General features: G+C 41.3%; 1 protein-coding gene across 9 annotated transcripts, besides 5 other annotated features; it reads left to right on the top strand.

Annotated features, from left to right (window-relative positions):
- Positions 8-577: an enhancer, noted in NCBI's record as "NANOG-H3K27ac-H3K4me1 hESC enhancer chr7:23571229-23571798 (GRCh37/hg19 assembly coordinates)". NCBI's record gives its function as "activates a minimal SCP1, AML or CMV promoter by ChIP-STARR-seq in primed H9 embryonic stem cells {active_cell/tissue: H9 hESC(primed)}" and the evidence as "EXISTENCE:reporter gene assay evidence [ECO:0000049][PMID:30033119]".
- Positions 117-336: an enhancer, noted in NCBI's record as "active region_25734". NCBI's record gives its function as "activates an Ori minimal core promoter by ATAC-STARR-seq in GM12878 lymphoblastoid cells {active_cell/tissue: GM12878}" and the evidence as "EXISTENCE:reporter gene assay evidence [ECO:0000049][PMID:35858748]".
- Positions 206-27407, top strand: TRA2A (transformer 2 alpha homolog). 9 transcript variants are annotated; one of them, NM_001282759.2, is made up of 10 exons: positions 206-398; positions 917-1006; positions 9755-10055; positions 10347-10480; positions 15659-15824; positions 19105-19293; positions 24652-24767; positions 25921-26049; positions 26377-26441; positions 26618-27407. In NM_001282759.2, exons 5-10 carry the CDS (start codon positions 15792-15794, stop codon positions 26626-26628), a joined length of 543 nt encoding a protein of 180 aa, NP_001269688.1. In that variant the 5' UTR covers positions 206-398; positions 917-1006; positions 9755-10055; positions 10347-10480; positions 15659-15791; the 3' UTR covers positions 26629-27407. The 9 variants fall into 9 exon arrangements, with proteins under 9 accessions (NP_001269688.1, NP_001269686.1, NP_001349689.1 ...); NM_001282757.2 differs by lacking the exon at positions 917-1006 and having other exon boundaries at positions 26374-26441; NM_001362760.2 differs by lacking the exon at positions 917-1006 and having other exon boundaries at positions 9755-10066; positions 26374-26441.
- Positions 347-396: an enhancer, noted in NCBI's record as "active region_25733". NCBI's record gives its function as "activates an Ori minimal core promoter by ATAC-STARR-seq in GM12878 lymphoblastoid cells {active_cell/tissue: GM12878}" and the evidence as "EXISTENCE:reporter gene assay evidence [ECO:0000049][PMID:35858748]".
- Positions 417-466: an enhancer, noted in NCBI's record as "active region_25732". NCBI's record gives its function as "activates an Ori minimal core promoter by ATAC-STARR-seq in GM12878 lymphoblastoid cells {active_cell/tissue: GM12878}" and the evidence as "EXISTENCE:reporter gene assay evidence [ECO:0000049][PMID:35858748]".
- Positions 578-1148: an enhancer, noted in NCBI's record as "NANOG-H3K27ac-H3K4me1 hESC enhancer chr7:23570658-23571228 (GRCh37/hg19 assembly coordinates)". NCBI's record gives its function as "activates a minimal SCP1, AML or CMV promoter by ChIP-STARR-seq in primed H9 embryonic stem cells {active_cell/tissue: H9 hESC(primed)}" and the evidence as "EXISTENCE:reporter gene assay evidence [ECO:0000049][PMID:30033119]".
- Positions 27408-27883: the final 476 nt, after the last annotated feature.

Genomic DNA, 27883 nt, shown 5'->3' with positions numbered 1-27883 from the left:
GTCTGAAGTTTGGAGGACAGCACGGGACCGCGATTCCAAGGCGCCCAGGTTGAGAGCGCAGGCCGCCCGCCAACCTCCACCCTCGCTCCAGGCCCAGCCGACACAAAGCCTCGCGGGAGGTGGAGCCTCGTGACGTCACAGAGACGCCCGCCCCCTTTACGTCGTGCTCTGAGGAGGCCAGGAGATTTCTGGCGGCGCCGGCGCCATTTTGCTGGAGCCTGCGACCGAGTGGGAGTGGAGTGGAGCGGCTGTGGTTGCCGACTCTTTCCTCTTCCCCACGGTCCAGTCAGCGGGTTAATTAGGCCATCGGCCCTCGAGCCGAGACTTGTCTCTTATTTAGTTCTGGGGAGCGCCTCGTCGACATGAGTGATGTGGAGGAAAACAACTTCGAGGGCAGAGTGAGTACAAAGCCGCGGGAGCCGTCTAGGCGGCGGCCCAATGCTCGGGGTTTCACGGGAACAAGCGCGGTCGGGCGGGGTTGCGGGTAGTCCCGCGAGGAGCAACCTCTGGAGCCATCGCGATTGATTCCTCCCATCCCAAGATGGCTTCTGGGTTCCACTCCTTCCCCAAACACCACGGATAACACCCCTCCCCCTTTTTTGGAGGCTGACTGATACCTGGACTTCTGGGTCCTCTTCCCTCCCCGCCCCCGCATTGCTTCCTCCCTTCTCCCCACCCCTGAGGCTTCCTTATGTCTGCTCCGAGGTGTGGGTCCCCGTCGCGGTTGGGCGGGAGGAGGCGGCAGGGAGCTCCCCTCCGTCCGGATAGTGGTAGGTGCTTCCTGCGGTGGCATTTCTGGCGACCCCGAGCATCGTAGAGGGTCTCGGGATCGAAAGTGCGCGGGGCTGCTTTCCGGGCGGGGAGAAGCTGGCGTGGGACTAGCTGGGGCCTGTGTCTCCTTGGCTCTCTATTTCAGTGAGCGGCCGCGTCTCTGTTGGAACCGGCGGCGTTGCGTCTAAAAAGGCGAAAGCCTTGAGGTTGAAGGTGGGACGAGCCTAATGAAGTGGTTAGTCAACGACCGCACCGACCCTTAAGCGTTCTTAAGACGAGAGCTGTGAGGGGAAACTACGCAAGGAGCCCTTTTCCCTTAATGTCCCTTCGACTTTCCTTTCACTTCGAAATGAATGTGGAAATGCTGTCACGCCTTATTTTTCTAATTCCTCGATGTTGGGTTTTTTCTCTTCTTTATATCTCAACTTTTAATGCTCTTCTTCCTATGACCTTTCATCTAAAAACTGACCACTCCTTTACAGGTTTTTACGGTAAAAAAAAAAAAATCTGTCTTTCTTTAATCTTACATAGCTGAACGAATTCATTGGCTCAGTATTTTTAAGATAACTAGTCAGTATATACTGTTCTGTAACTTAAAAGATGACCTGAAAATTAACAGGCCCTCTCCCATTTCTCTTCTCACTCTATCCCCCACCGAAGAGGGCTCAGAAAAAAGTTTTTATTAATATATTTGGGGTCGGAGAAATACAAACATCACAAAGAATACGATATCCCCAGCTTAAATGTACTGGAACGTTTGTCAGTGAGTTTCATTTCCAAAGTTTACCCTACATAGGGAATTGTAGAAGTGAGTTAGTAGAAGTGAGTTCGTGTGAAACCCTGGAAAGAAAACAAAAGCCCCATGCAACACGTTCCGGGCTGTTGTGTAGATGTTTATTCTAGTCACTAGGGGAAGCACATAAAAACACCTGAGGTGTGTGTGCTGAAGGGCGAATTTTGTCCTTTTGGGGAGTTCATGATATAAACATCTAGAACCAAAAAGTCAAATCAGAAGGTCAGTTTAGGCTTTAGTTCTCTTTGAGGAAAGATTTAAAGCAATAGACTATAATAGTTACCCGGTAGACTAAAAAATTTGCCTTTAATTCTTTTGATTGGAATTTTTTTTTACAAAGTTTGGAGCATGGAAACAAATGAAAATTGAACCTGCTTATTTTTTAGGATGGTGTATTGATGGCCCCAACAGAACTTTCTAAAATCATGCGATAAACATATATGATAGTAGTTGTAAAATGCTTCTTGTTTTGAAAATGTTGAGTAATTATCGATAGAAATTTTGCTGTCCATTCATACATTCCTTCAATTAACTTTCATTGTTAAAAAATTGGGGGATTGATGTTTGGTTTGGTTTGTGGGGAGTGAAGAGGACTACTGGAGGGACCTTGTTTGCTTGCTTTTTTTCTTTTTTTAATTTATCATCAAGTCTAGGAAAGGAGTAAGTTGCCGACAATTGTCACTTTTCCCTCCTAAGAAAGTAACATGTTAAGATTCCCACCTACCAGCCTGGGTGACAGTGAGACTCCCGTCTCAAAAAAAAAAAAAAAGATTCCCACCCACTTTTAAGCTAAAGTATATGTAGGCATTAAAGATTTATTTAATAGAAATAAAGGGCCCTCTTACGGCCCTTTGTGGTCATAGGAAATATTTTTTTCACAAGTGGTACCCAAGTGTATTTTAGTGTAAATCAACTAGTGCTTGTAGGCTCACCTGTTGTATCTTTTTATTTTTCGTCTTTTAGTTTTTATAGGATGAGATAATTGTCTTTATTTGTAATTGGTTAAAGAATTAGAACAATGCGAGAAGCTTGTCTGGAGATGCCCTTTTTAAAATCGTTTCTGGCCGGGCGCAGTGGCTCACGCCTGTAATCCAACAATTTTTGGGAGGCTGAGGCGGGTGGATTACTTGAGGTTAGGAGTTCGAGACTAGCCTGCCCAACGTGGTGAAACCCTGTCTCTACTAAAAATACAAAATTAGCCGGGCGTGGTGGCGTGCGCCTGTGATCACAGCTACTTAGGAGGCTGAGGCAGGAGAATTACTTGAACCTGGGAGGCGGAATTGCGCCACGACACTCCAGTCTAGGCAACAGAATGAGACTCTTGTCTCAAAAATAAGTAAATACGTAGGTCCATAAAAGCAATTTTAAGTGGAGATGTCCTTTGGAGCTGGGAGTGAAGGTAGCACTTAAGCGGTGGCTTTGCATGTCTTGATAAAAGTAATGAGTTGTTTGCCTCAATACAGCTTCAACTAAAATTCGGATTTTGAGCTCAAAAAATGTTAATGCCCTTCATAGAAATTAAGGGGAATGGAAATCTTTTCTTAACATTTTACACCTCTACCCCTAAAATTTTAAGAACTGTACTTTATAAAAATGTGCAATTTTCATACAGCATCCCAGTGTTGATCATGGAGGTTAATGATTCTTTATTGTTAGGGACCTATCTTGTAATTCCAGAGTTATTTATGTTTTCTACAGTTGAAGAGGAAAAATACCGCTTCTTATTGCCTCCTTTTCAGGATTTCTTCTGGCTTCTTGAGTAGCTGGAGTATTTTTGAGAGACTCCTACAGGCCCTGCGGGGTGGCACATGCCTGTAATCCTAGCTACTTAGGAGGCTGAGGTGGGAGAATTGCTTAAACCCGGGAGGCAGAGGTTGCAGTGAGCCGAGATCGCATCACTGCACTCCAGCCTGGGCGACAGAGCAAGACTCTGTCTCGAAAAAAAAAAAGGCAAACAAATTTATCTGTATCAATTTGGAATTAAAAGATTTGTGTGTATAGATTTTTTGTTAAAAATAGAAGAAATAGGGGGAGGGTCCTTTTCTGAAATCTGAGAATGATAGGGATGATGACTATCAAAACCCAGGCCTGTGACTGGCTTGTTTAAAAACAAAACAAGGCCGGCCCGGTGGCTCACGCCTGTAATCCCAGCGCTTTGGGAGGCTGAGGCGGGCGGATCACAAGGTCAAGAGATGGAGACCATCCTGGCCAATATGGTGAAATACAGTCTCTACTAAAAATACAAAAATTAGCTGGGCGTGGTGGCGCGCGTCTGTAGTCCCAGCTACTCGGGAGGGTGAGGCAGAGAATCACTTGAACCCGGGAGGCGGAGGTTGCAGTGAGCCGAGGTCGGCCACTGCACTCCAGCCTGGCAATAGAGCGAGACTCGTCTCAAAAACAAAACAAAAAAAAACACAGAACTTTTAAATTGGGCTTAAAATTTTTTTGTGTATGAAGTTTTAAGATAAATGTGAGAGATGTCATAGCATTTTGCTTATTCAGCGTCTTTAGCAATTTAATTCCATATATCATCAAATTGACCTTACATAAGGGTAAAGCTTTCTTTCTTATAGTAGGGATAGTGTTAACCTAAGAGAGTCTTGGGTTTAATCTATTTTCCTAAATTTAAGTACTATCATTTATCTGATTTTAATGCTTTCAGTTGTTCTCCTCTCCCCTTCCATTTAAGCAAAGAATTTGTAAACTTAAAAAAAATTAAAATCTCAAATTTTTATATTTGAGGTTCTTTCACTGAAGGATGTTGATCTGCTCAATATAAGTAGAGGGCAAGATTTTGAAAAGGAGCAGTGCAAGTAATTATACCCACAGCGCATAACTAATTTTACAGATCTGTCATAGAGGCTTATACTTTGTACCACTCATTAAATGGAATATAGAACCTTGAGATCTGAAAGAATGTCCAGGGATTTAAATATTTAGGGATGTGTGGTTTGGAAAACACTTTGTCTGTGGGCTTAATTTTGTAAATCAACCAAACTCTAACCTACGATGTAGCATGTGTATTATAAGAAGTGTGAAATGTCATCAATAATCAGCATAGTAGTTTCCTAGAACTTGACTGGCAGAAAACTTTCTTTGATAGTATCAGTGGGTGCTCACCCATTAGATAACTAAAAGATGTGTATTCACGTGCTAATGAATTAAAACTGATTGCTATTTGTTCATATGTCCTCACAAATTTAGCAAGACAGGCATGGAGGTGAAAAAAATAGTAACAACTAGATGAGGGAAAGATTGTATACACTGAAGAAAAGTTGAGAGGAGAATACTAAAGGGAAATATGGTTTCCCTTCCCTCCTTTTAAGTTACTTATATATATAGTTATATATAATCCTTACTGTCCCATGACTTTCACCAAAGATGGAGTGACTAGGCCTGACTGATATGTAGAAGAAAAGTTGTGATCTTTCCTTGAAACCAGGACCCTATCATCTGACTTACCAAGATTCATAAATACTGTATAACTCCAGAAGATTAGAACATAATGTTAAATCACATTAGTCCTTACAAACTTGTTTTTTCTACCTTTGAAATTGCCACTTATACATTAGTTTTTTGAACATTACAATTGATCAGGATATATAAGCTATGAGACTTATGAACCACGTTTAAAATTTGTACAAAAGATTATAAATTTTACAGGTGATTTCACAATTATGGCATGAGTTTAAATTTGATTATATGTGGGTGTCAGTTACTAAATCATGTATTTATGATAAGACTTCTAAATTTTAGAGAATAAGGAAACATACAGAATTAGAATATGTTTGAGTCTTTGCAGATAAAGACCACATTGACTTCAGAATGCAGCATATAGGCATGCTGCATTTAAAAGAAGGGAAATTATTATTTCAATTTAATATGAGCAGTCGCTATCTTCTTTTTAAGGGATTTGTTCTAATAGCAGTTACGGTTTAAGAAGATAATGGAAGTGTTGCTTTAACTTCATAGGGGTCTGTAAGAGTATTCTCCCATACTCAAGGGGAAGGAAGCAGAACTGTTGTTCTTTCTATAGGCTGAGGTTGAGTAAATACAGGTTTTTTACAACTCCTAAAGAAGTTCTTTAGTAAGTAGTAAAATGAATATTGTAAGGTATTTGAATAATTTCGGTACATTTCCCTTCTTTTTGGGTACTTGTGATTTTCCTCAATGCACTAGTGTGTATCTATGGAAATAGAGCGCCAGTGTCATAAAGTAGCAGGAAAATACATTTTTAGTAAGTCTGTTTTACAAGCTTATACTCATAGACTTGGACTTGAGTAAATTTGGCCCTATTAAATGGCATAGAATTTGCCTGGCCTTAATGTTAGAGTAAGTTACAGTATAGCATTTAATAGTTTATTTATTTTAATGGATAGCACATATATATATTGTGTTGGAATTTCTTTTTATAGTATGACACAGGCTATATTAAAAGACTGCAGTTATTGCTTGCTGTAGGAATTGTTCATGTTCCGCAACATTGTGTACATGTATATAATAACCCTTTTCCTGATTAAAAGAATAGTACATGGTTATTGTGGTTATTCACAGTGTGTAAAATACAACTCTATTTTAACACAGAAAGACAATTCTTAACCAGCTTGTATTGGTTACACTATAACACTTTCTTAGTGTTTTAGTTAGTTCCCTCCTTTTAATTTTTGGCCATTTCCTTCAACCAACAGCAGGGTCATCTTGATAATAAAGAATAGTTTAAACAAGCAGGCCGGGTGCAGTGGCTCATGCCTGTAATCCCAGCACTTTGCGAGGCTGAGGCGGGTGGATCACTTGAGGTCAGGAGTTCGAGGCCAGCCTGGCCAATGTGGTGAAACCCCGTCTCTACTAAAATAAAATACAAAAGTTAGCCAGGTGCGATGGCGGGTGCCTGTAATCCCAGCTACCCAGGAAGCTGAGGCAGAATTGCTTGAACCCAGGAGTTGGAGGTTGCAATGAGAAGATTGTGCCACTGCACTCCAGCCTGGGTGACAGAAAAACCAAACAAGCAAATAAACATCAAAACAAAAACCTGTTAAAGCAGGTTGTGCTGTGAGAAGAACTTTTCTGCCTGGCTTCTGCTTTATAGCCTATAAGATAGACTGGAGGCCTATTTAAGACTTTTGTTAAAATTCATGATACGAGTTGAGTTATTAATCTGCCCATTTAAACCGGGCAGTGTATTTTTAATGGTTATTGGATGCAGGAGCCAGATTACTGAGGAAATGGTAGGATTCCTTGACTGGACAGCTTTAAGAACAAGTAGTCTAGTGAAACAGGGCAGATACCACCCATTCCCAGCAATCTTTTTTGTTTGCAATTTCAATTCATTTTCCAAATTGTGGATAGTTTTATGAATTTCTTTGAGAAAAAGTTGAAATTATTTCATAATGAAGACGAGTCAGAGAGAAAAGGATTAGCCTAGCATTTGTCCTCTTTATATAAAGGACTTCTTATAGCCTGATTCCTAATGCAGAGTTCAGTGAAAGTGACATTTATTTGGTAACAGCTTTTGAGAAATGTTACTTTATTTCTAAATAATTATATACTTGGCAGTTTATTCTTCCAGTTAAGTTTACTAATAGTTACTGATTTGTTAATATAAGTTTGTAAGTTGTTTTTGAAAGTTAAAATGAAGCTGGGTGTGGTGGCTCACACCTGTAATCCCAGCGCTTTGGGAGGCCAAGGCGGGCAGATCAAGGAGTCAGGAGATGGAGACCAGCCTGGCCAACATAGGGAAACCCTATCTCTACTAAAAACACAAAAATTAGCTGGGTGTGATGGCGTGCACCTGTAAGCTGAGCTACTCAGGAGGCTAAGGCAGGAGAATCGCTTGAATCCGGGAGGCGGAGGTTGCAGTGAGCTGAGATCAGGTGCCACTGTACTCCAGCCTGAGCTACAGAGCAAGACTCCATCTCAAAAAAAAAAAAAATAGTTAAAATCATAGTGACAACTTTGTAGCTAGGAGTTAGAGACAGCTAAGAGGACTGTTTTTAGCTTAGATGTTTCCATGAAGAAATTTGTGCAGACTGAGATTTCCTCTGAGATAAAAAGAAAGAAGGGCAGACAACAAAGGAGGTTAGGTATTTGTGACACCTTTGATAATAAAAAGCAAAGCTTCTTTTAAAATAAATCTGATGTTGGCCGGGCGCGGTGGCTCACACCTGTAATCCCAGCACTTTGGGAGGCTGAGGCGGGCAGATCACTAGAGGTCAGGAGTTTGAGACCAGCCTGGCCAACATGGGAAAACCCCATCTCTATTAAAAATACAAAAATTAGCCAGGCAAGGTGGTGCATGCCTGTAATCCCAGCTGCTCAGGAGGCTGAGGCAGGAGAATCACTTGAACCCAGGAGGTGGAGGTTGCAGTGAGCCTAGATCGCACCATTACACTCCAGCCTGGGTGACAGAATGAGACTCCTCCTTCTTAAAATAAATAAGCTAACATCTCTTAAAAAGACATTCTATCATACCATAATGCTTTGTTGCTACTCCAAAACTGGGATTTAAAATTGGAATTTTAAGATGTTACTGAATTATCTTGTTTACTTTAATAAAAGGTTTTTATTTCCATCCTAGTAAAATTAAAGAATTGTAGTGTTTTACAGAGCAAAGCCTCCTGTGTATGTTTGAGAAGGACTGTAGCAGCGTTCGTAGATAATAATCCAGCTATTGCTATTCAACAGTAGCATAAATGAATGTTATGTCACAGGGTCTGTTTTGTGGAAAGGAAAGCCAAAAGAGAAGAGGGGAAGATACTCTTATGAGTTTGATTAATGAACCAGTCTGTGAAACTTAAATTACAAGCAAATTAGCCATGCCTTTTTTTATAAGATACTGAATATGCTGCTTTCATAGTTTCAGTGAATGAAAAAGCCCAGATTGCTATGCCTGCTCCAGACATCTGTTGAGTGGTTTAGAGTATCTGAGATGCAGTGAAAGACTTGTAGGTAGCTAAATGGGAAAGGTTGGTATTGAGCTGAAAGGTAGCTGTGTATTTCAGTTTTGTTTTTATCTGAAAGAAAATGACCAGGTGGCATTTGTACAGTTCTTGATAAATAAGTCTTGACATTAAACTTGAAGCAAAGGAAAAGTTTTCAGAAAGCTGTTTGAGTTGTGTGATAGTCTTAAGGCATAAATAAATTGGTGTGAAATTACTTCTGTGAAATTGAGATAATTATTTACACTGATAATCAAGGCTTAACTGGACACAGAAACCAAGCTGTCCATCCTGTTTTGATCATAAGTGCCTCATATCTGTGCAGTTAAAAAAAACAAGCTTATGATCAGTAAGTTATTTTATTTGGAATGCTTTGATTTACACCCAATTTTTTCAGAAACCCATCACTTTTTGGATATAGAATATAGTCACTGAAGGGAGTACCAGTATACATAAATGCATAAATTATGTAAAAACTGAACATAATTCTAAAGAGATGGAATCAAAGATAAAGACTATGATATAAATTTTGTACCTTCTTGCACATTGTGGTATGTCGTGGATAATAGAGCATTTTAAAGTGATCTGGTTGCAAAAATGTGTATATCAGGAATTAATAAGCTAATGGGGAAATTTTAAGAATTTCATGCTTATTAGTTTTTTCGGTATGTTTGTCTTCAGAACATATTTTAAGTCAGAATGAGCAAAGATAGTAGTCAAAGTTGGGAGAAGGTGTAATTTTACTGATTTTTTTCTTTTTGACTTATTTGAACCTTGACATGTGCTATGGGTGAGTTTAGATAGGTGTGTACAAATATTTCAGCCTGGGATGCCTTGCTCTAACTATATCTTGATTTCTTAGCATGACTTAGTGAAAGCTTATTTTTAAGAATCTTCAGATTATAAAGTAGTGAAAATTTAACACTTAGGTGGGGGGAAATTATAGTTGTTAGATTTATATTTGAATTATATTAAAATTGCTCACATTTTAGGAACTAGAATGAAACATGGGAGGAGGGTGAAGAGTATGGTTTAAAAAGCATTTAGAGAAATTTAGTAAATTCTCTTTGTTAGAAACTAGAGTTTTGAACAATTTTAAAGACTATAAAATTGTTTTTTTTTTTTTTTTTTAAATAAACTAGTTACTTGCACTTTACCTGCTGGCTTTTCCATTTGGTAGATAACATTCTGAACTCCAGCAGAGTTTTATAATCCCCACGTGCTTAAATATACTAAATGTTCTTTTTCCATTAAGGTTAATGTTCGTGAAGAAATTGAAGAGTTTTTTCCAAGAATGTGGAAGATAAATCAAGATAAAAGAAGGCTAATGAAAAGTATTAAAGATCAGAAAATTAAAATTGAATGGGGGAAAAAATTGAACAGAAGATTGGTCAGATAGAAGCACTTGAATATTTTTTTAAGGCTATTTTGAATTGTTTGAATTGGGGAAGAATACACGAAGTATGAAAAATGAAAAACTCAATGAAGAATGAAGAGAAGTAGAAAGCAAGAGTGAAGTAGAATTAAAAGAATCTGGAAGAATGAATGGGTCCTAGGTTAAGTAAATGTATGGTTTATGTTCCAGTGTCTGTATGATCAAGTTGTAGATGAATTTGCATGATTACTTAGTTAATAGAGAATTGGTGATCTGGTTCAAGTAGGGAATTATTGAGGACAGTTAGCAGTATTAACAGTGGGTTATTATTGAGCTGAAATTTTTTCTGGAGGGTGTTGTCTAACCATTTGTTTTTCAGGAGCAATCAATATAAATAATTACGGTACTTTAAATGTTAGGTGTTAGGCATCTACATGACCAGTGCCATTTGTAATACTGTCTTCTTTGTTAGGAGTCTCGCTCTCAGTCAAAATCTCCAACGGGAACTCCTGCTCGTGTAAAATCGGAGAGCAGGTCAGGATCTCGTAGTCCATCAAGGGTTTCCAAACACTCTGAATCCCATTCTCGATCAAGATCAAAATCCAGGTAAGTGTGTTTAAGATAATACTTAAAATATTCTTCTGGGGTTTTTGAGGACAAAGCAGTTGTTGGCTGCATTTTGTGTAGAAATTTCACGAAAGACTCAAAATTATAGTTTTTCTCAGACTGCTCTTTGTAAATGAATACTATATCCCAGACAAAGACTTGGAAGTATGGCTTGAGCCCAGGAGTTCCAGGCTGCATTGATTGCACCACTGCACCACAGCCTGGGTGCCAGGGAGACCCTATCTCTGAAAAAATAAGAAATCAATACTAAAATCATCTCCCAGCCCAATTAATATATTGGATAGTTGCAACCAGTACAAATTATGTGTATATAGCCATCAATTTAAATGTGTTTGGCATTTGATAATTAGTGTCTGGTTTCTATGCCAACAATATTTGCACAACAAAAAGGCGGTTTTCTGCATTGGAGTCTCACATGTAATTTAATGCAGAGAAAGTTGATGTGTGTATGCTATGCTGGTTGGTCAGAACGATTGAGAAGCATTTTTAGGATTTACATTCCAGCTACATTTTTATCTGAAGATTCTGACTCTGTCCAGCGTAGAGCTCTGGTGAGATGTAATTGGGCGGAAAAGTCCTTAGCTGATTTGGAGTCCCACCACCATGGATAACAGAAACGCAATAGTGAACCAATGCAAAGTTCACTGTCAAATGCCCCAGGTGTACTGAGGTGGGATAAAAAGTTTTAAGACAGGCTGGGTGCAGTGGCTCACACCTGTAATACCAACACTTTGGGAAGCCGAGGTGGGTAGATAACTTGAGGTCAGGAGTTTTAGACCAGCCTGGGCAACATGGTGAAACCCTGCCTCTACTACAAATACAAAAATTAGCTGGGCGGGGTGGCGGGCACCTGTAGTCCCAGCTACCTGGGAGGCTTAGGCAGGAGAATCGCTTGAACCCAGGAGGCGGAGGTTGCAGTGAACCAAGAGATGGCGCCAGTGCACTCCACCCTGGGTGACAGAGAGACTCTTTCTTTTTAAAAAAAAAAAAAAAAAAAAAAAATTTAAAACAGCCTGACCAGTTAGCTTACGTCCTTGTCATTTCTTGGGTGGAGGGATAGATTTTATGTCTTTGAATAGTCTACTTGCAAAGGGGCATGAGACAGAAAAATCAGTTAAAAGGCTGTCCTTTTCTTGGGGTTAGCAACCATACTGTTTTCTGTTACAGCAAGGGTCTAGCCCGGTGCTTGATTACTTACTACTCAGTTATTAAATTTATTATGTGCAGAATAGCACTGGCTAGAATTTGAGCTTAGAAATAGAAAGGAGCATGTTTTTGCCTTAGGGCCTTTGCATTTGCCACCTTCAACCTAGAACGTTTTTCTCCTGTCTCATTTCATTTGTCACCTGAGAACATTGTTATTCACATATCCATTATTCCCTTACTCTTAATTTTTTTATGTTGTCACTGTCTGATTTAAAAAAAATAGAGACTCCTGAAGAGTTTCTTGTTTGTTTTTGTTTTTGTTTTGAGATGGAGTCTCGCTCTGTTGCCCAGCCTGCAGTGCAGTGGCACGATCTTGGCTCACTGCAACCTCCACCTCCCGGGTTCAAGCAGTTCTCCTGCCTCAGCCTCCCGAGTAGCTGGGATCACAGGCACCTGGCTAATTTTTTGTATTTTTAGTAGAAACGAGGTTTCACCATGTTGGCCAGGCTGGTCTTGTACTCCTGCCTCAGGTGATCCGCCCACCTCGGCCTCCCAAAGTGTTGGGATTACAGGCGTGAGCCACTGCGCCCAGCTGGAAGAATTTTATTGTCTCACTTTCATTGCTGTTTAAAAGTAATAATTGATGTTTTAAATTAAGGATTTTCTTACTTTTTTTTCTTCATTTTAAAAATTGGAACTGTAAATTGGTGCTAGCTAAAATGGGAAATATCAACTCTTCTAGCGTTATTGTTCACCTATTGTGTTTCATAAGGTCTTTCCTCATTAGTTTTATTCCTGTATTCCATATCCTCACTTTGTAAAATCGTGCAAAAAAATTTTGCTTGATTACTTAGTTAACAGAAAATGGGTGATCTGGTTCAAGTAGGGAATTACTGAGGACAGTTAGCAGTATCAACAATGGGTTATTATTGAGCTGAAAAAAAGTAGAGACTGTTGAAGAGTTTGTTTGTTTGTTTGTTTTTTGAGATGGAGTCTTGCTCTCTTGCCCAGGCTGGAGTGCAGTGGTGTGATCTTGGCTCACTGCAACCTCCACCTCCTGGGTTCATTGAGTACCGTATAGAAGGTATTTTATATGACTGTCATCACTGCTGGTCTGTGTCAGTTTAGTTAAGGGTGGGTCATTAGTCTTTTTTTTGAAGACGGAGTCTCACTCTGTCGCCAGGCTGGAGTACAGTGGCCTCACTGCAATGTCTGCCTCTCTGGTTCAAGTGATTCTCTTGCCTCAGCCTCCCGAGTAGCTGGGATTACAGGCACACGCCACCAACACCCAGCTAATTTTTTGTATTTTTAATAGAGACGGGGTTTTATCATGTTAGCCACGATGGTCTCGATCTCCTGACCTTGTGATCTGCCTGCCTCGGCCTCCCAAAGGGCTGGGATTACAGGCGTGAGCCACCGTGCCCGGCCTGTCGGATTAGTCTTACAGGCAAAGAAAGGACTGCAAGCAACTGGGAATTAGAGCAACTGGGAACTAGAAAAGCAGCAGTAGACAAGTGAAATGTTATAGAAAGCATCAATAAGTAAAGGCTTAGGCTGAGTGTGGTGGCTCATGCCTATAACCCCAGCACTTTGGGAGCACAAGGAGGGGTGGATCACTTGAGGTCAGGAGTTCTAGACCATCCTGGCCAACATGTTGAGACCCCGTCTCTACTAAAAATACAAAAAATTTGCCAGGTGTGGTGGCACAGGCCCGTAGTTCCCAGGAACTCGGGAGGCTGAGGCAGGAGAATCGCTTGAACCCAGGAAGTGGAGGTTGCAGTGAGCCAAGATCAGGCCACTGCACACTCCAGTCTGGGTGACAGAGTGAGATTCTGTCTCAAGAAGGGGGAAAAAAAAAAAAAAACAAGAAATGAAGACTCAGAAATGTTACCAGTTTTGGGCTGGGCACGGTGGCTCATGCCTGTAATCCCAGTGCTTTGGGAGGCTGAGGTGGGTGGATCACAAGGTCAGGAGTTCGAGACCAACCTGGCCAACATGGTGGAAACCCCGTCTCTACTAAAAACACAAAAATTAGCTGGGCATGCTGGCAAGTGCCTGTAATCCCAGCTACTTGGGAGGCTGAGGCAGGAGAATCACTTGAACCCAGAAGGCGGAGGTTGCAGTGAGCTGAGATTGTGCCATTGCACTCCAGCCTGGGTGAAGAAGTGAGACTCTGTCTCCAAAAAAAGAAATGTTACCAGTTTTGATGGGCATTTAGGTGGTTGTTGAATTAGTTTAGCAGATACTAGATTGCAGCAGGCTAAAGAAGAATTGGAAATGGAAATGATACTTAGCAGAGAGGGGAATGTAGAACTTTATGGGCCAGGCACACTGGCTTAATTGGGGAGGTCGAGGTGGGCAAATTGCTTGAACAGGACTTCAAGACCAGCCTGGGCAACATGGCGAAACCCTGTCACTACAGAAAATATAAAAATTAGCCAGGCATGGTGGTGCATGCCTGTAGTCCTAGCTGTCTGGGAAGCTGAGGTGGAAGAATTTCTTGAGCCTGGGAGAGAGAGGTTGCAGTGAGCTGAGATCATGCCACTGCACTCCAGCCTGGGCGACAAAGAACTATATGGAGAAAGTAGCAGAAAATCAAAAAGGATTTTGTTTGTTTGTTTGTTTGTTGAGACAGAGTTTTGTGCTTGTTCCCAGGCTGGAGTGCAGTGGCACGATCTCAGCTCACTGCAGCCTCCACCTCCCGGGTTCAAGTGATTCTCGTGCCTCAGCCTCCCAAGTAGCTGGGATGACAGGTGTGCGCCACCACGCCCAGCTAATTTTTGTATTTTTAGTAGAGACAGGGTTTTACCATGTTGGCGAGGATGGTCTCGATCTCTTGACCTCGTAATCTGCCTGCCTCGGCCTCCCAAAGTACTGGGATTACAGGCATGAGCCACTGCGCCCAGCCTGATTTTTTTTGTTTTGTTTTGTCTTTGTTTCTGTTTTTTTTTTTAAAATAGAAGTGTGGAGTCTTGCTATGTTGCCTGGGCTAGACTTGTCCTCCTGGGCCCAAGTGATTTTTCTTTCTTTCTCTCTTTTTTTTTTTTTTTTTTTTTTTTTTTGAGACGTAGTCTTGCTCTGTCGCCCAGGCTGGAGTACGGTGGCACAATCTCAGCCCACTGCAAGCTCCGCCTTCTGGGTTCGCGCCATTTCCTGCCTCAGCCTCCCAAGTAGCTGGGACTACAGGTGCCCGCCACCATGCCCAGCTAATTTTTTGTATTTTTAGTAGAGGGGTTTCACCATGTTAGCCAGGATGGTCTCGATCTCCTGACCTCGTGATCCGCCCGCCTCGGCCTCACAAGTTGCTGGGATTACAGGCATGAGCCACCGTGCCCGGCCCCAAGTGATTTTTCTTGCTTCATCTTTCCATGTAGCTGGGAACATAAGCACACATCACTGCACTTAGCTAAGAATCAAAGGATTTATTTATTTATTTGAGACAGAGTCTCGTTCTGTTACCATGCTGGAGTGCGGTGGCGCAATCTCGGCTTGCAACCTCTGCCTCCTGGGTTCAAGCGATTCTCCTGCCTCAGCCTCCCAAGTAGCTGGAATTACAGGTGCCTGCCACCACACCTGGCTAATTTTTGTATTTTTAGTAGAGACGAGGTTTCAACATGTTGGCCAGGATGGTCTTGATCTCTTGATCTCGCGATCTGCTCGCGTCGGCCTCCCAAAGTGCTGGGATTACAGGCATGAGCCACCGCACCCGGCCACGATTTTATTTTATAGCAATAGTGGGTTTTTGTTTTTTGTTTTTTTTTTGTTTTTTAAAAGAAGATGGGGCCTTAACATTTTTGTAAGGTTAGGTGAAAAGGGTGAATGTAGAGGGGCTTGACTGAGAAGAGTGGAAGATGTAGTGACTTAAGTGAACCAAAGGAAGAATACCCTTTCCTCAGAAGCAAGGAGGAAGGACCTGAGAATAGTTAGGGATATATGTATACCTTCTTGGAAGAGGGAAGGACTTTAGCCATTTTGTTTCAGTATTTTTACCTAAATGTATTTCTCTCAAAGGTCGAGGTCAAGGAGACATTCTCATAGACGTTACACTCGATCCAGATCCCACTCTCACTCTCATAGGAGACGATCTCGAAGTAGATCATATACACCAGAATACCGGCGGCGAAGGAGCCGAAGCCATTCTCCAATGTCTAACCGGAGAAGACATACTGGCAGCAGGGTACGTGGTTTATAAAAGTTAATGAAGACTTATTTTCTCTTTTATGTGTTTAGTCATGGCATATCTTGCTTTTAGGGGAGCTTGGCCATTGTTTAGAAGTGATACTCTGGAAACATCCTTAATAAGCTGCTTTAGCTTTCAAAGTAAAGGAAATGCCACCATCTTTCGTAAGCTTACCATGTTTTATGACAAAGAATGCAAAGGAAGTATATTTTCTTTTTTTTAGACAAAGTCTTACTCTGTCTCCCAGGCTGGAGTGCAGGGGTGCAATTTCGACTCACTGCGGCCTTAGCCTCCTGAATAGCTGGGGTTGCAGGTGTGCACCACCACACCCAGCTAATTTTTGTGTTTTTAGAAATGGGGTTTCACCATGTTGACCCCTCTGGTCTCAAACTCCTGACCTCAGGTGATCCACCTGCCTTGGCCTCCCAAAGTGCTGGGGTTACAGGCGTGAGCTACCATGCCTGGCCGGGAGTATATTTTTCTTTTCATGACGTTTGAGTAAAAAGGACATGAAGGCTGGGCGTGGTGGCTCACACCTGTAATCCCAGCACTTTGGGAGGCCAAAGGGTGTGGGTCACCTAAGGTCAGGAGTTCGAGACCAGCCTGGCCAACATGGTGAAACCCCATCTCTGCTAAAAATACAAAAATTAGCCAGGCGTGGTGGCTTACGCCTGTAATCTCAACTACTTGAGAGGCTGAGGCTGGAGAATCCCTTGAACCCAGGAGGTGGAGGTTGCAGTGAGCCGAGATTGTGCCACTGCATTCCAGACTGGCCTGGGAGACAGAGCGAGACTCTGTCTCAAAAAAAGAAAAGGAGATGAAATTTGGGAAGAAATATGTTCCGGCCGGGCGTGGTGGCTCACACTTGTAATCCCAGCACTTTGGGAGGCCGAGGTGGGCGGATCACGAGGTCAGGAGATCGAGACCACGGTGAAACCCTGTCTCTACTAAAAATACAAAAAATTAGCTGGGCACGGTTGCAGACGCCTGTAGTCCCAGCTACTCCGGAGGCTGAGGCAGGAGAATGGTGTGAACCCGGGAGGCAGAGCTTGCAGTGAGCCGAGATGGCGCCACTGCACTCCAGCCTGGGCGACAGAGCGAGACTCCGTCTCAAAAAAAAAAAAAAAAAAAAAAAAGAAATATGTTCCACGAATTCAAGTGAAAAGCATAAATTGAGTTGGGAATACTGGGTTATATTCAAAGTTTTTTGATGGGGTAAGGGGGTCAAAGAAATATTAAAAACTTTGTAGTAATCATAGCTAACACTTTTATTCAGTACACTTAAAGCTTTTAACATTTCTGTGAGGCAAGTTATGTTATATATAAAAAAAATTGAGTCTTGGATGTATGACATTGAAGGAGTTTTAGTTTTGGTTTTGGTTTAGTTTTTGCTAACTAGCAGTCTAGGTTTCAACCAGGCAGCCGGGCTCTAAAGTTCTTAGAACATGTTTGCATGCTGTACTATGCTTCTCCCACAGGATACTAACTTAAACTGTGGTGGAGCATGTCATTATTTAATGTTTTGAAATCTGTAAATTTATTTCTAAAATCTGGATTGTGGGAACACTGAAAGAATATCCTCGCTAAAGAATGAAAATGGGCCAGGCATATTGGCTCACGCTTGTAATCCCGACTACTTGGGAGGCTGAGATGGGAGGATTCCCTGAGCCCAAGGAGGCCAAGGCTGCAGTGAGCCATGATCAGGCCAGTAAACTCCAGCTTGGGCAAGAGAGTGAGGCCCTGTCTCAGAAAAAAAAAAGAAAGAAAATGGAGGAGAGGAGGTCTAAATCAACAATTACAGATGAAGTCAGATTAAGTACAAATCTGTAAGGGATGTAAAGCATTTGAATTAACTAGAAAGATGGTATTAAACTGAGGATACTTTTTTTTTATAAGTGAGACGGAGTTTCACTCTTATAAAAAGTAAAGGTTGTTCAAAGAGATTTTCCTCCCCATCTAATTAGAAATAGATAATAATTTCTCTTAGAAGCAAAATTTATTCAAAGAGCTGTGCTAACATTCTTAAATATCTGCTAGGCCGGGTGGGGTGGATCACCTGAGGTTGGGAGTTGGAGACCAGGCTGACCAACATGGAGAAACCCCATCTCTACTTAAAAATACAAAATTAGCTGGGGGTGGTGGTGCATGCCTGTAATCCCGTCTACTTGGGAGGCTGAAGCAGGAGAATGGCTGGACCTCGGGAGGTGGAGGTTGCGGTGAGCCAAGATCGCACCATTGCCCTCCAGCCTGGGCAACAAGAGTGAAACTCCGTCTCAAAAAAAAAAAAAAAAATCTACTAGCCGTAGTAAAAAAATCAATGTACTTTATGTTCTTAGCTCCCACAATTTAGCCTAAGTATTTGCCCTAACATGCTTATACTGGTCCAAACAAGCATTAGGTCATAGCCTGTTCCTCTTCCTTATTTAAAGGTGTTTTTACCTTTCTCAACATTCCACAAATTACTTCCTCCTTCCTTTGTTCTCCTCCGCCTTTGCCTCTTTTAAAAAGTTTGAAGTTACTAGCCAATCAAGACAAATCAGAATGTGAAGTCCCATTCCAGCCAATAAAAAACAGACACAACAGTAAGGTAGACACGTCAGATTATAAATGACCCTGTCTCCTTTGTTCAGTGTACTCTTGTGACAAAACTGCTGACAAGCGTACCCTTTCTACAGAAAATAAAAATGGCCTTACTAAAAAAATGTATGTTCAAGTGCTATTTCTTTACAACACCGAGAAACAAACATTTCTAACACTCTTGTCGCCTAGGCTGGAGTGCAATGGCTCGATCTTGGCTCACTGCAACCTCCACCTTCTGGATTCAAGCGATTCTCCTGCCTCAGCCTCTGGAGTAGCTGGGATTACAGGCGCCGGCCACCATGCCCAGCTAATTTTTGTATTTTTAGTAGAGATGGGGTTTCACCATGTTGGCCAGGCTGGTCTCGAACTCCTAACCTCAGGTGATCCACCCACCTCAGCCTCCCAAAATGCTGGGATTACAAGATTTTCAGGATACATTATGAACATTGCTGGGCTGGAGAGTAAGAACATTTTAATTCAGGCTATAGACAGAAAGCATATCCCAAAGAAGGCCTTGGGTGTACTGTGAATTGTAAAATATGGCTCATCTGCTCTAGTTCTCTTAAAATCTTATCTCCAAATTATTAGAAACAATATATTTATTGTGTATTAGATGAGGTGTTCTAAACAAAGTATTTCTGTGTTTCTTTGATTTTGATTTTAATTTGGAGTTTTAAATAATATTTCCATTCAATAGGCAAATCCAGATCCCAACACTTGCCTTGGAGTGTTTGGCCTCAGTTTGTACACAACAGAGAGGGATCTTCGTGAAGTATTTTCTCGATATGGACCATTGAGTGGTGTCAATGTGGTTTATGATCAGCGAACTGGGCGATCTCGAGGATTTGCTTTTGTGTATTTTGAGAGAATAGATGACTCAAAGGAGGTAAATTTGTCTTTTATATGCCTGATTATAGTACTGAATTAGTGTGAAAAGTTGATTAATAGACTTATTTCTGTAAACATTGCATCCTTTTTTCTTCCTTTTTTTCTTTTTTTTTTTTTTAAAGATAGGATCTTGCGTCCAGGCGCGGTGGCTCATGTCTGTAATCCCAGCACTTTGGGAGGCCGAGGCAGGTGGATCACGAGGTCAGGAGATCGAGACTATCCTGGCTAACACGGTGAAACCCCGTCTCTACTAAAAATACAAACAATTAGCCAGGCGTGGTGGCCGGCGCTTGTAGTCCCAGCTACTCGGGAGTCTGAGGCAGGAGAATGGCGCGAACCCGGGAGGCAGAGCTTACAGTGAGCCGAGATTGCGCCACTGTACTCCAGCCTGGGCGACACAGTGAGACTCCGTCTCAAAAAAAAAAGATAGGATCTTGCTGATTTTGCTCTGTTGCCCAGGCTGGAGTGCAGCCTCGACCTCCTGGGCTCAAGCAGTCCTCCTACCTCAGCCTCCTGAGTAGCAGACACTACAAGTGTGGGCCACCATGCCCAGATAATTTTTTGTTGTAGAGATGAGGTCTCACTATGTTGCCCAGGCTGATCTCGAACTCCTGGCCTCAAGTGATCCTCCCAGAATGCTGGGTTTACAGGCATGAGCCATCATACATGGCCTGTTGTGTCCTTTCTAATTTTGACCTGATTCAAACTCTGCCTCTCAGTGTTAACAATTGGAGTGACTACAGTTTCACTTTTTTTGGTTATGCTCTCTGCTATAGGCATATCCTAATTGAAATCTGGCTGTGTAAAGTGAGCTATATGTGTTTAAATTAATGGAAAAAGTATATGTGTAAGTGTTCTCTTTTGAATAAGCCATAATGATGCTCCAAACAGATGATTACATTAACTTTTAAAAAATAATTCTGATGTGTGGGTTTGATATGTTTAATTTTGTGTCTATAATGAGGAAGGAACTTGTTTTTCTATTCTCTAAATGTTCATTTATCAGTGTGTTCAATAATTGAAAAATAGTACATGGAAAGAATTGATAATTTTTTAGTGCTATTCTTAACTTGCCTAACACAATGAACTAATCAATGTCAATGACTTGAAATAGTGCTATTCTAACATGTTCGGTATTATAAAGGAAGTGGTAGGCTTGCTTTAAGTTTTTGCAGGGAGTCTTGCTGTGTTGCTTAGGCTGGTCTCGGAACAACTCCTGGCCTCAACTGTTCCTCCTGCCTTGGCTTCCCAAGGTGCTAGAATTACTGATGTGAACCACCATACCTGGCCTAGGCTCGCTTACTCTTTACTAAAAGTTGATAGTAATTGATTTAGAAAATTGCATTTTAAAGAATTTGAAGCTCAATACTTTTAGTTTTGTTAGACCTTCTGTCTTTTAAATTAATATATATATATTTGTATATATCTGGAAGTTTTATTAGACCTTAATAATCAGGGTGTTTTTCTTTTCTTTTCTTTTCTTTTTTTTTTTTTTTTTTTTTTTTTTTTTTTTTTTTTTTTGAGATGGAGTCTCGCTCTGTCGCCCAGGCTGGAGTGCAGTGGCGCGATCTCAGCTCACTGCAAGCTCTACCTCCCGGGTTCATGCCATTCTCCTGCCTCAGCCTCCCGAGTAGCTGGGACTACAGACGCCCGCCACCATGTCCAGCTAATTTTTTGTATTTTTAGTAGAGGCAGGGTTTCACTGTGTTAGCCAGGATGATCTCAATCTCCTGACCTCGTGATCCACCCGCCTCAGCCTCCCAAGGTGTTGGAATTACAGGTGTGAGCCACCGCGCCTGGCCAAATAAGGCTATCTTTTAAAAACAGTAAGTTCTTGGCATCTGGTGGGTAGAAGCCAGGAACACTGCTAAATAACCATACAGTACACAAGCTGGCACCCCATAACATAGAATCAGTCTCAAAATGTCAATAGTGCTAAGGTTGAGAAACCCCGGATAACTCTAACAAACTAGTACTTTAGTTTTTAAGTCATTTATGTCACAGGCAGTTTAATGCCTTAATTTGTCAGTCTTATGATTTTTTTTTTTACTGTTACGTATTTGTGATTTATATATTCCTTTTCTCAATTAAGAGATACATGTTATCAATTTAGAAATACTAGGATATCTGAGCTGAAGTAAAAGTTGCAAAATGCAAGCCAGAACAGTGTAATTTTTTTATTATTAATATTTTTTAATGTGAAACGTGTTTATCTCTTGATTCCACCTGTCCCCTTCCACTTCTGGATAAAACTAAAATGGCAGGCCGGGCACAGTGGCTCGCACCTTGTAATCCCAGCACTTCGGGAGGCTGAGGCGGGCAGATCACCTGAGGTCAGGAGTTCAAGACCAGCCTGGCCAACAGGGTGAAACCCCATCTGCTAAAATACAAAAATTAGCCGGGCATTGTGGCAAGCGCCTGTAACCCCAAGCTACTCGGGAGGCTGAGGCAGGAGAATTGCTTGAACCTAGGAGGCGGAGGTTGCAGTGAGCTAAGTTTGTGCCACTTCACTCCAGCCTGGGCAACAGAGTGAGACTCCACTTCATCTCAAAAAGAAAAGAAAAAAAAGCTTAACTGGCAACTTTAAAGACAGGAGCAGTTACTTAGTGGCAGGATTAGAAGTTCCTTTTAGTTCACTAGGTGACAATATGTTACTTAAGGAGCGGGGTGACGAGGCTTGTCAGCTAAATCACAGTTTCTCTTTTCAGTTGCCCAGGCTGAATTCTCAGCTAACACAGGCATGTTGTATGGTTTCTTCTGTATGGCTGAGACTGTCTCCAGTCTTTAGGGACAGGCAATCTGAAGTGATTTGATTTTTTTCTTTTTTTGTTGTTTGTTTGTTGTTTCTTTGTTTGTTTGGAGATGAGGTCTTGCTCTTTGCCCTGTCGCCTAGGCTGGAGTGTGGTGGCACGATCTCAGCTCACTGCAACTTCCGCCTCCCAGGCTCAAGTGATCTTCCCACCTTAGCCTCCCGAGTAGCTGGGACAACAGGTGCGCACCACCATGCCCGGCTAATTTTTGTATTTTTTGGTAGAGACGGGGTTTTGCCCCATTGCCCAGGCTAGCCTCAAACTCTGGACCTCAAGTGATTTGGCCTCCCCAAAGTGCCAGGATTACAGGCATGAGCCACTTCACTTGGCTAAAGTGATTTTTTTTTTTTGAGACGGAGTCTTGCTCTGTTGCCAGGCTGGAGGGCAGTGGCACAATCTCGGCTCACTGCAACCTCTGCCTCCCGGGTTCAAGCAATTCTGCCTCTGCCTCCCGAGTAGCTAGGACTATAGGTGCATGCCACCACACCCAGCTAATTTTTGTATTTTTAGTAGAGATGGGGTTTCACCATGTTGGCCAGGATGGTCTTGATCTCTTGATACCTCATGATCCCCCCATCTTGGCCTCCCAAAGTGCTGGGAGTACAGGTGTGAGCCATCGCGCCCAGCCTAAAGTGATTTTTAAAATCTTTTTAAAATTTGTATTCCTTTTTGACTAACTTCTCCCTGATTCTGAAAATTTCACTGAAGTTTCAAAGTTATTAGTGTGCATATGGTGAAGATAATAATATAAGCTCCTCACCCTGTTTTAGTAAGAAGTACTTAGAGATTTTGTGTGTGTTTTTTTGGGGGGTGCTTAGGATGGGGTGCAGGGAGATCAACTTAGAGAATTTTGATTTTTGGAACTTCAAATGGAAGATGTGTTAAATTTGTTGCAGCTTTGCTTTTGCAGACATTTATGTGATGTAAAGTTCTTTTTAAAAATTGGACCGGGTGTGGTGGCTCATGCCTCTAATCCCAGCACTTTGGCAAGAGGATTTACTTGAGCCCAGGAGTTTGAGACCAGCCTGGGGAAACATAGGGAGACTTGGTCTCTACAAATATATATATGTGTGTGAGAGAATAGGAAAAAAAAATTGTCCCAGAAACAAATAATACTCTCAGAGTTCTTTTCAAAGAGACCAAAGAGACAACTCTTATCTTCAAGAATTAGGCTGTGCAAGGCGGCTCATGCTATTTGGGAGGCTGAGGTGGGAAGGCCACTTGAGGCCACGAGTTAAGAGACCAGCCTGGGCAACAGATCTTGTCTCTACAAAAATAAATGCATGCAGGCCAGGCGTGGTGGCTTACGCCTGTAATCCCAGCACTTTGGGAGGCCAAGGCAGGAGGATCACAAGGTCAAGAGATCGAGACCATCCTGGCCAACATGGTGAAACCCCATCTCTACTAAAAATACAAAAAATTAGCTGGGCATGGTGGCGCATGCCTGTAGTCCCAGCTACTTGGGAGGCTGAGGCAGGAGAATCACTTGAACCTGGGAGGCAGAGGCTGCAGTGAACCGAGGTCACGCCATTGCACTCCAGCCTGTGCAACAAGAGCGAAACTTGGTCTCATAAATAAATAATAAAATGCATTCCATTGAATGGAATACTGTTTAGACCCCTTCTCTACCAAGAATTTTTGTTTTAATTAGCCGAGCATGGTGGCACAAACCTGTGGTCCTAGCTACTTAGGAGACTAAGGCTGGAGGATTGCATAAGCCAAGAAGTTTGAGGCCACAGTGAACTATGATCCACTGCCAGCCTGGGCAATGGAGTGAGACCTCCTTTTTTTTTTTTTTTTTTTTTTAATGACCTTTAGTTTATGGGACACTCTTACGGAGAAATATTTGTGGATACATAAAAATTGTGTAGTTTTTATTAGTTTATTATACTTTTATTAGTTCAGTCTCAATAAAAGGTTGAAAGGCATTACGATAAATTTGTTCTTGTCTGTTTATATCATTTCTTCTTGGCTGCTCACTGAGTCTTAATCAGTGTACTAGACTGCAAACTAAAGAATAAGATTGGGGGCAGGTTATAAAAAGAACATGTATAAAGCTTAGCAAACCCTTTTTAATGTTCTGAAGTCAGTCTTTGTAAGTGAAATCGCTGGAGACTAGAAAGTATGAAATGGCAGTCTACCTGGGCAACCTACAAAAAATTTAGCTTGAAAAGACTTCAGTCTCCGCTCCCCTGTTGATCTCATGGAGTGGGGAATGGGAATTGAACCAGAACTGGAAAATTATTTAGGAAAGTTTGTTAACTACTCTTTGTTGATCTCATGGAGTGGGGAATGGGAATTGAACCAGAACTGGAAAATTATTTGGGAAAGTTTATTAACTACTCTTTCTGCTGAGTAAATTTAAATGTGTTCTGGACATTGTTGAGGTCTAGAATTGTCTATACAATGCCCTGTACAAGCTACATTGCTGTCATTTTCAAAATCAGGAGTTTATTTGGATTACATATACTTTGTGCTTAATTTTAAGTAATGATTACTTCAAGACTGGTGAATTATACGTGACTTTTTGTGCCTGTTCTTTATAGGCTATGGAAAGGGCAAATGGAATGGAGCTGGATGGTAGAAGAATTCGGGTGGATTATTCTATAACCAAGAGAGCGCACACACCAACACCAGGCATCTACATGGGCAGACCAACTCAGTAAGAGTTCAAGTTTCCTAAGCTAAACTATGAAATCCACCAGAAATATGTGCAAAATTTTGATTACTCAGAAACTTTTTTCCTATAATTAGAATTGATTCTGGCAAGGGGCAACATGGCAAAACCCTGCTTCTACTAAAAAAAAATAAAAAATCAGCCAGGTGTGGTGGCACATGCCTGTAATCCCAGCTGCTCGGGAGCTGAGGCACAGGAATCACTTGAACTTGGGAGGCAGAGGTTGCAGTGAGCCTGGGCAACAGAGTGAGACTCTTTCTCAAAAAAGAAAAAAAACATAAGTAGGGGTTTTGATAATGTTTTTAAATATACAACCCTCCTGGCTGGCTCACGATGTTCATTTGCCGGGCGCAGTGGCTTACACCTGTAATCCCAGCACTTTGGGAGGCCGAGGCGGGTGGATCACGAGATCACGAGATCGGGACCACGGTGAAACCCCGTCTCTACTAAAAATACAAAAAATTGGCTGGGCATGGTGGCAGGCACCTGTAGTCCCAGCTACTCAGGAGGCTGAGGCAGGAGAATGGCATGAACCCCGGAGGCAGGGCTTGCAGTGAGCCGAGATCGCACCACTGCACTCCAGCCTGGGCGACAGAGCAAGACTCCGTCTCAAAAAATAAAAATAAAATATACAACCAAAGGCAGTATTCACAGAGGTATTTCTTGGGAATAAAAGAAGGAATATAGTCATTCCTTGGTATTCTCTTTGGTGTCCAGAGTTACTTAAAAATTCTTGGTGTTTATTGCCTTTTAGTCACAGGGATACACCTTTTATTCATTTATTTATTTATTTACCAGTCTCATTTAGCAGTAGGAATGCATCTTAGCATTTTTATACTGCTGCTCAACACAGTGCTTCATCGTTTCAATTTGTTGAAAAGATTTTAATTTGGGCAGTGCATTAGTAGAAAAGCAGTTAATAGTTTTGAGAGTTTTGTGAAGCCCTTCTTGATTATGTATGTAGGGAATAAGGCAAACCAGAATACCATGGGAGTCAGTAAAATGAGATACGGAGGCAATTTCTCATGAAAGGGATGTTCTTCCTCACTTTTCTCTTTTTTAAGCCATTCAATTTGTATTAAAGTGTCCTGGAAAATAGTCATTCACACTAATGGAGAATTTTTACATTTTTCTGCAGTAGTGGTGGGGGTGGTGGAGGAGGCGGCGGCGGTGGAGGTGGAGGTGGTGGCAGACGTCGAGATTCTTACTATGATAGAGGATATGATCGTGGGTATGACAGATATGAAGACTATGATTACCGATACAGGTAATGTTTTAACTTGAGCTTTCTGTTCTAAATTAGATGATAGTAGTGTTACTTGGCACTTTTATGTTGGATACATATGAATAAAAACTTGATTTTTAAAATAGATCATATATGACGCCTTTGGGAGCAGAAGTTAGCAGTCTGTATATGTCAGTATTTTGTTGTGCTATATACTTTTCTGGTCTCATTGGCAGAAAGAGAACTTAATATTAAGTAGTTATCACCTTAGGTACATTATTATTTTGAATGATGAGGAATTTTTATTTTCATCTGCCTCAGTGGAGTGATTATATAGTATGCTAAGTAATCTTTCATTTCTTACAGAAGACGATCACCTTCTCCTTATTATAGTCGATATAGATCACGATCAAGATCTCGTTCCTACAGCCCAAGTATGTGAACTTTACTTTTGTAGCATAAAAAACCTCATTTCTAATTAATGGCTTACTTTAGAATATTAGAGTATAAGGTGGAAGGTGGCAGTTAATAGTTGGAAAAATATGAGGCAAATTAAACTATAATTGTTAACTTTTTTTTTTTTTTTTTTTTTTTGCTTTTTCTCTTTTAGGACGCTATTGATAACGGAATGGTTGCAATTAAGGACATTTTTTTTCCTCTTTTTTTTTTTTTTTTTTTTAATTCTGAGATTTCCCCAAGCTGTGGATTCTTCCTACTCCTTAAGAAAAAAACTTTGGTTTATTTAGCATCTACACTTTTGTCAGTTGTGTTGCTGTTTTCCACCCATTTTATTATACTCTTAAAAGATGTAATTGTTGTCATTTTGAACAGTTAAACATCTTGAGTATAAAAAGAACCCCAATGTTATGTTATGCTTTGTAAATTTTTTTTTTTGCTTTTACCTAGATAAACTTCTAGCTAATCAAATAAGGAAAGAAACTGTCTTTTTAAAGCTTCTTTTGTGTTAGATACTGTATTAGAGATCTGCATTTATCATGAGTTCCTTTTTTTTTTTAACTTTATTTTTGGGAAAGTAACACATGAAGTAGTTCAGTCATGTCAGGTTTGTCTGGGGTGGAATGGAACAGTCAGGTAGTTGAAAGTTTTTTTTTAGAGATGAAAAGCTTGTGAACTCCTGTAAAACATGCTGTATTTGAAATACATCTGTTAAAACTTAAAAACTAAAGTGTGATTTTTTTTGTTGTTGTTAAGTTTATTGAAGTTTATTCCCTTAATCAGTGAAGGACAACCCTTATTTATTACCTAGAGCAGTTGTATAATTCGCTGTTAGAAATTTTGGTATTGGGACAGTGGATAAGCAGGTTATCACATAGCATAGAATTCTTAAAAGATACATGTGGGGAAAAGTAGTCTCAAATAAAAGCTAATTTCTTTGAAAATGGGATTGTCTCTTTATTGTGGTACCATGGAGAAATATGATTGAGGAACTGGTCCTTCCTTTTCCCTCACATCCCCCCAGTGTGTATTTATATGAAAGTTTACCCATCCTGAGTTTTAACTTCCCAATATTTCTCATTTTTAAAAATATTTTTTCTTACACTAGAATGTTATTCCTTGTCTTTTCTTTGGTTCTTTTAAAACCCTTGTTTTTCTTCTCTTTTGGGGGAGACCGAATTGTAAATATTGAGAATATTCAGTACCAGCACCATGCTGAAGGAAAGATAGGTAGCTAATACCTTTTTTTTTTTGAGACGGAGTCTTGCTCTGTCACCCAGGCTGGAGTGCAGTGGCGCGATCTCGGCTCACTGCAAGCTCCGCCTCCCGGGTTCACGCCATTCTCCTGCCTCAGCTTCCCGAGTAGCTGGGACTACAGGCGCCCACCACCACGCCCGGCTAATTTTTTGTGTATTTAGTA

The sequence above is a fragment of the Homo sapiens genome, chromosome 7, assembly GCF_000001405.40.
Source record: "Homo sapiens chromosome 7, GRCh38.p14 Primary Assembly".
NCBI lineage: Eukaryota > Metazoa > Chordata > Mammalia > Primates > Hominidae > Homo > Homo sapiens.
Note: the sequence above shows the minus strand (reverse complement) of the source record. Positions and strands in the feature narration are given on the sequence as shown.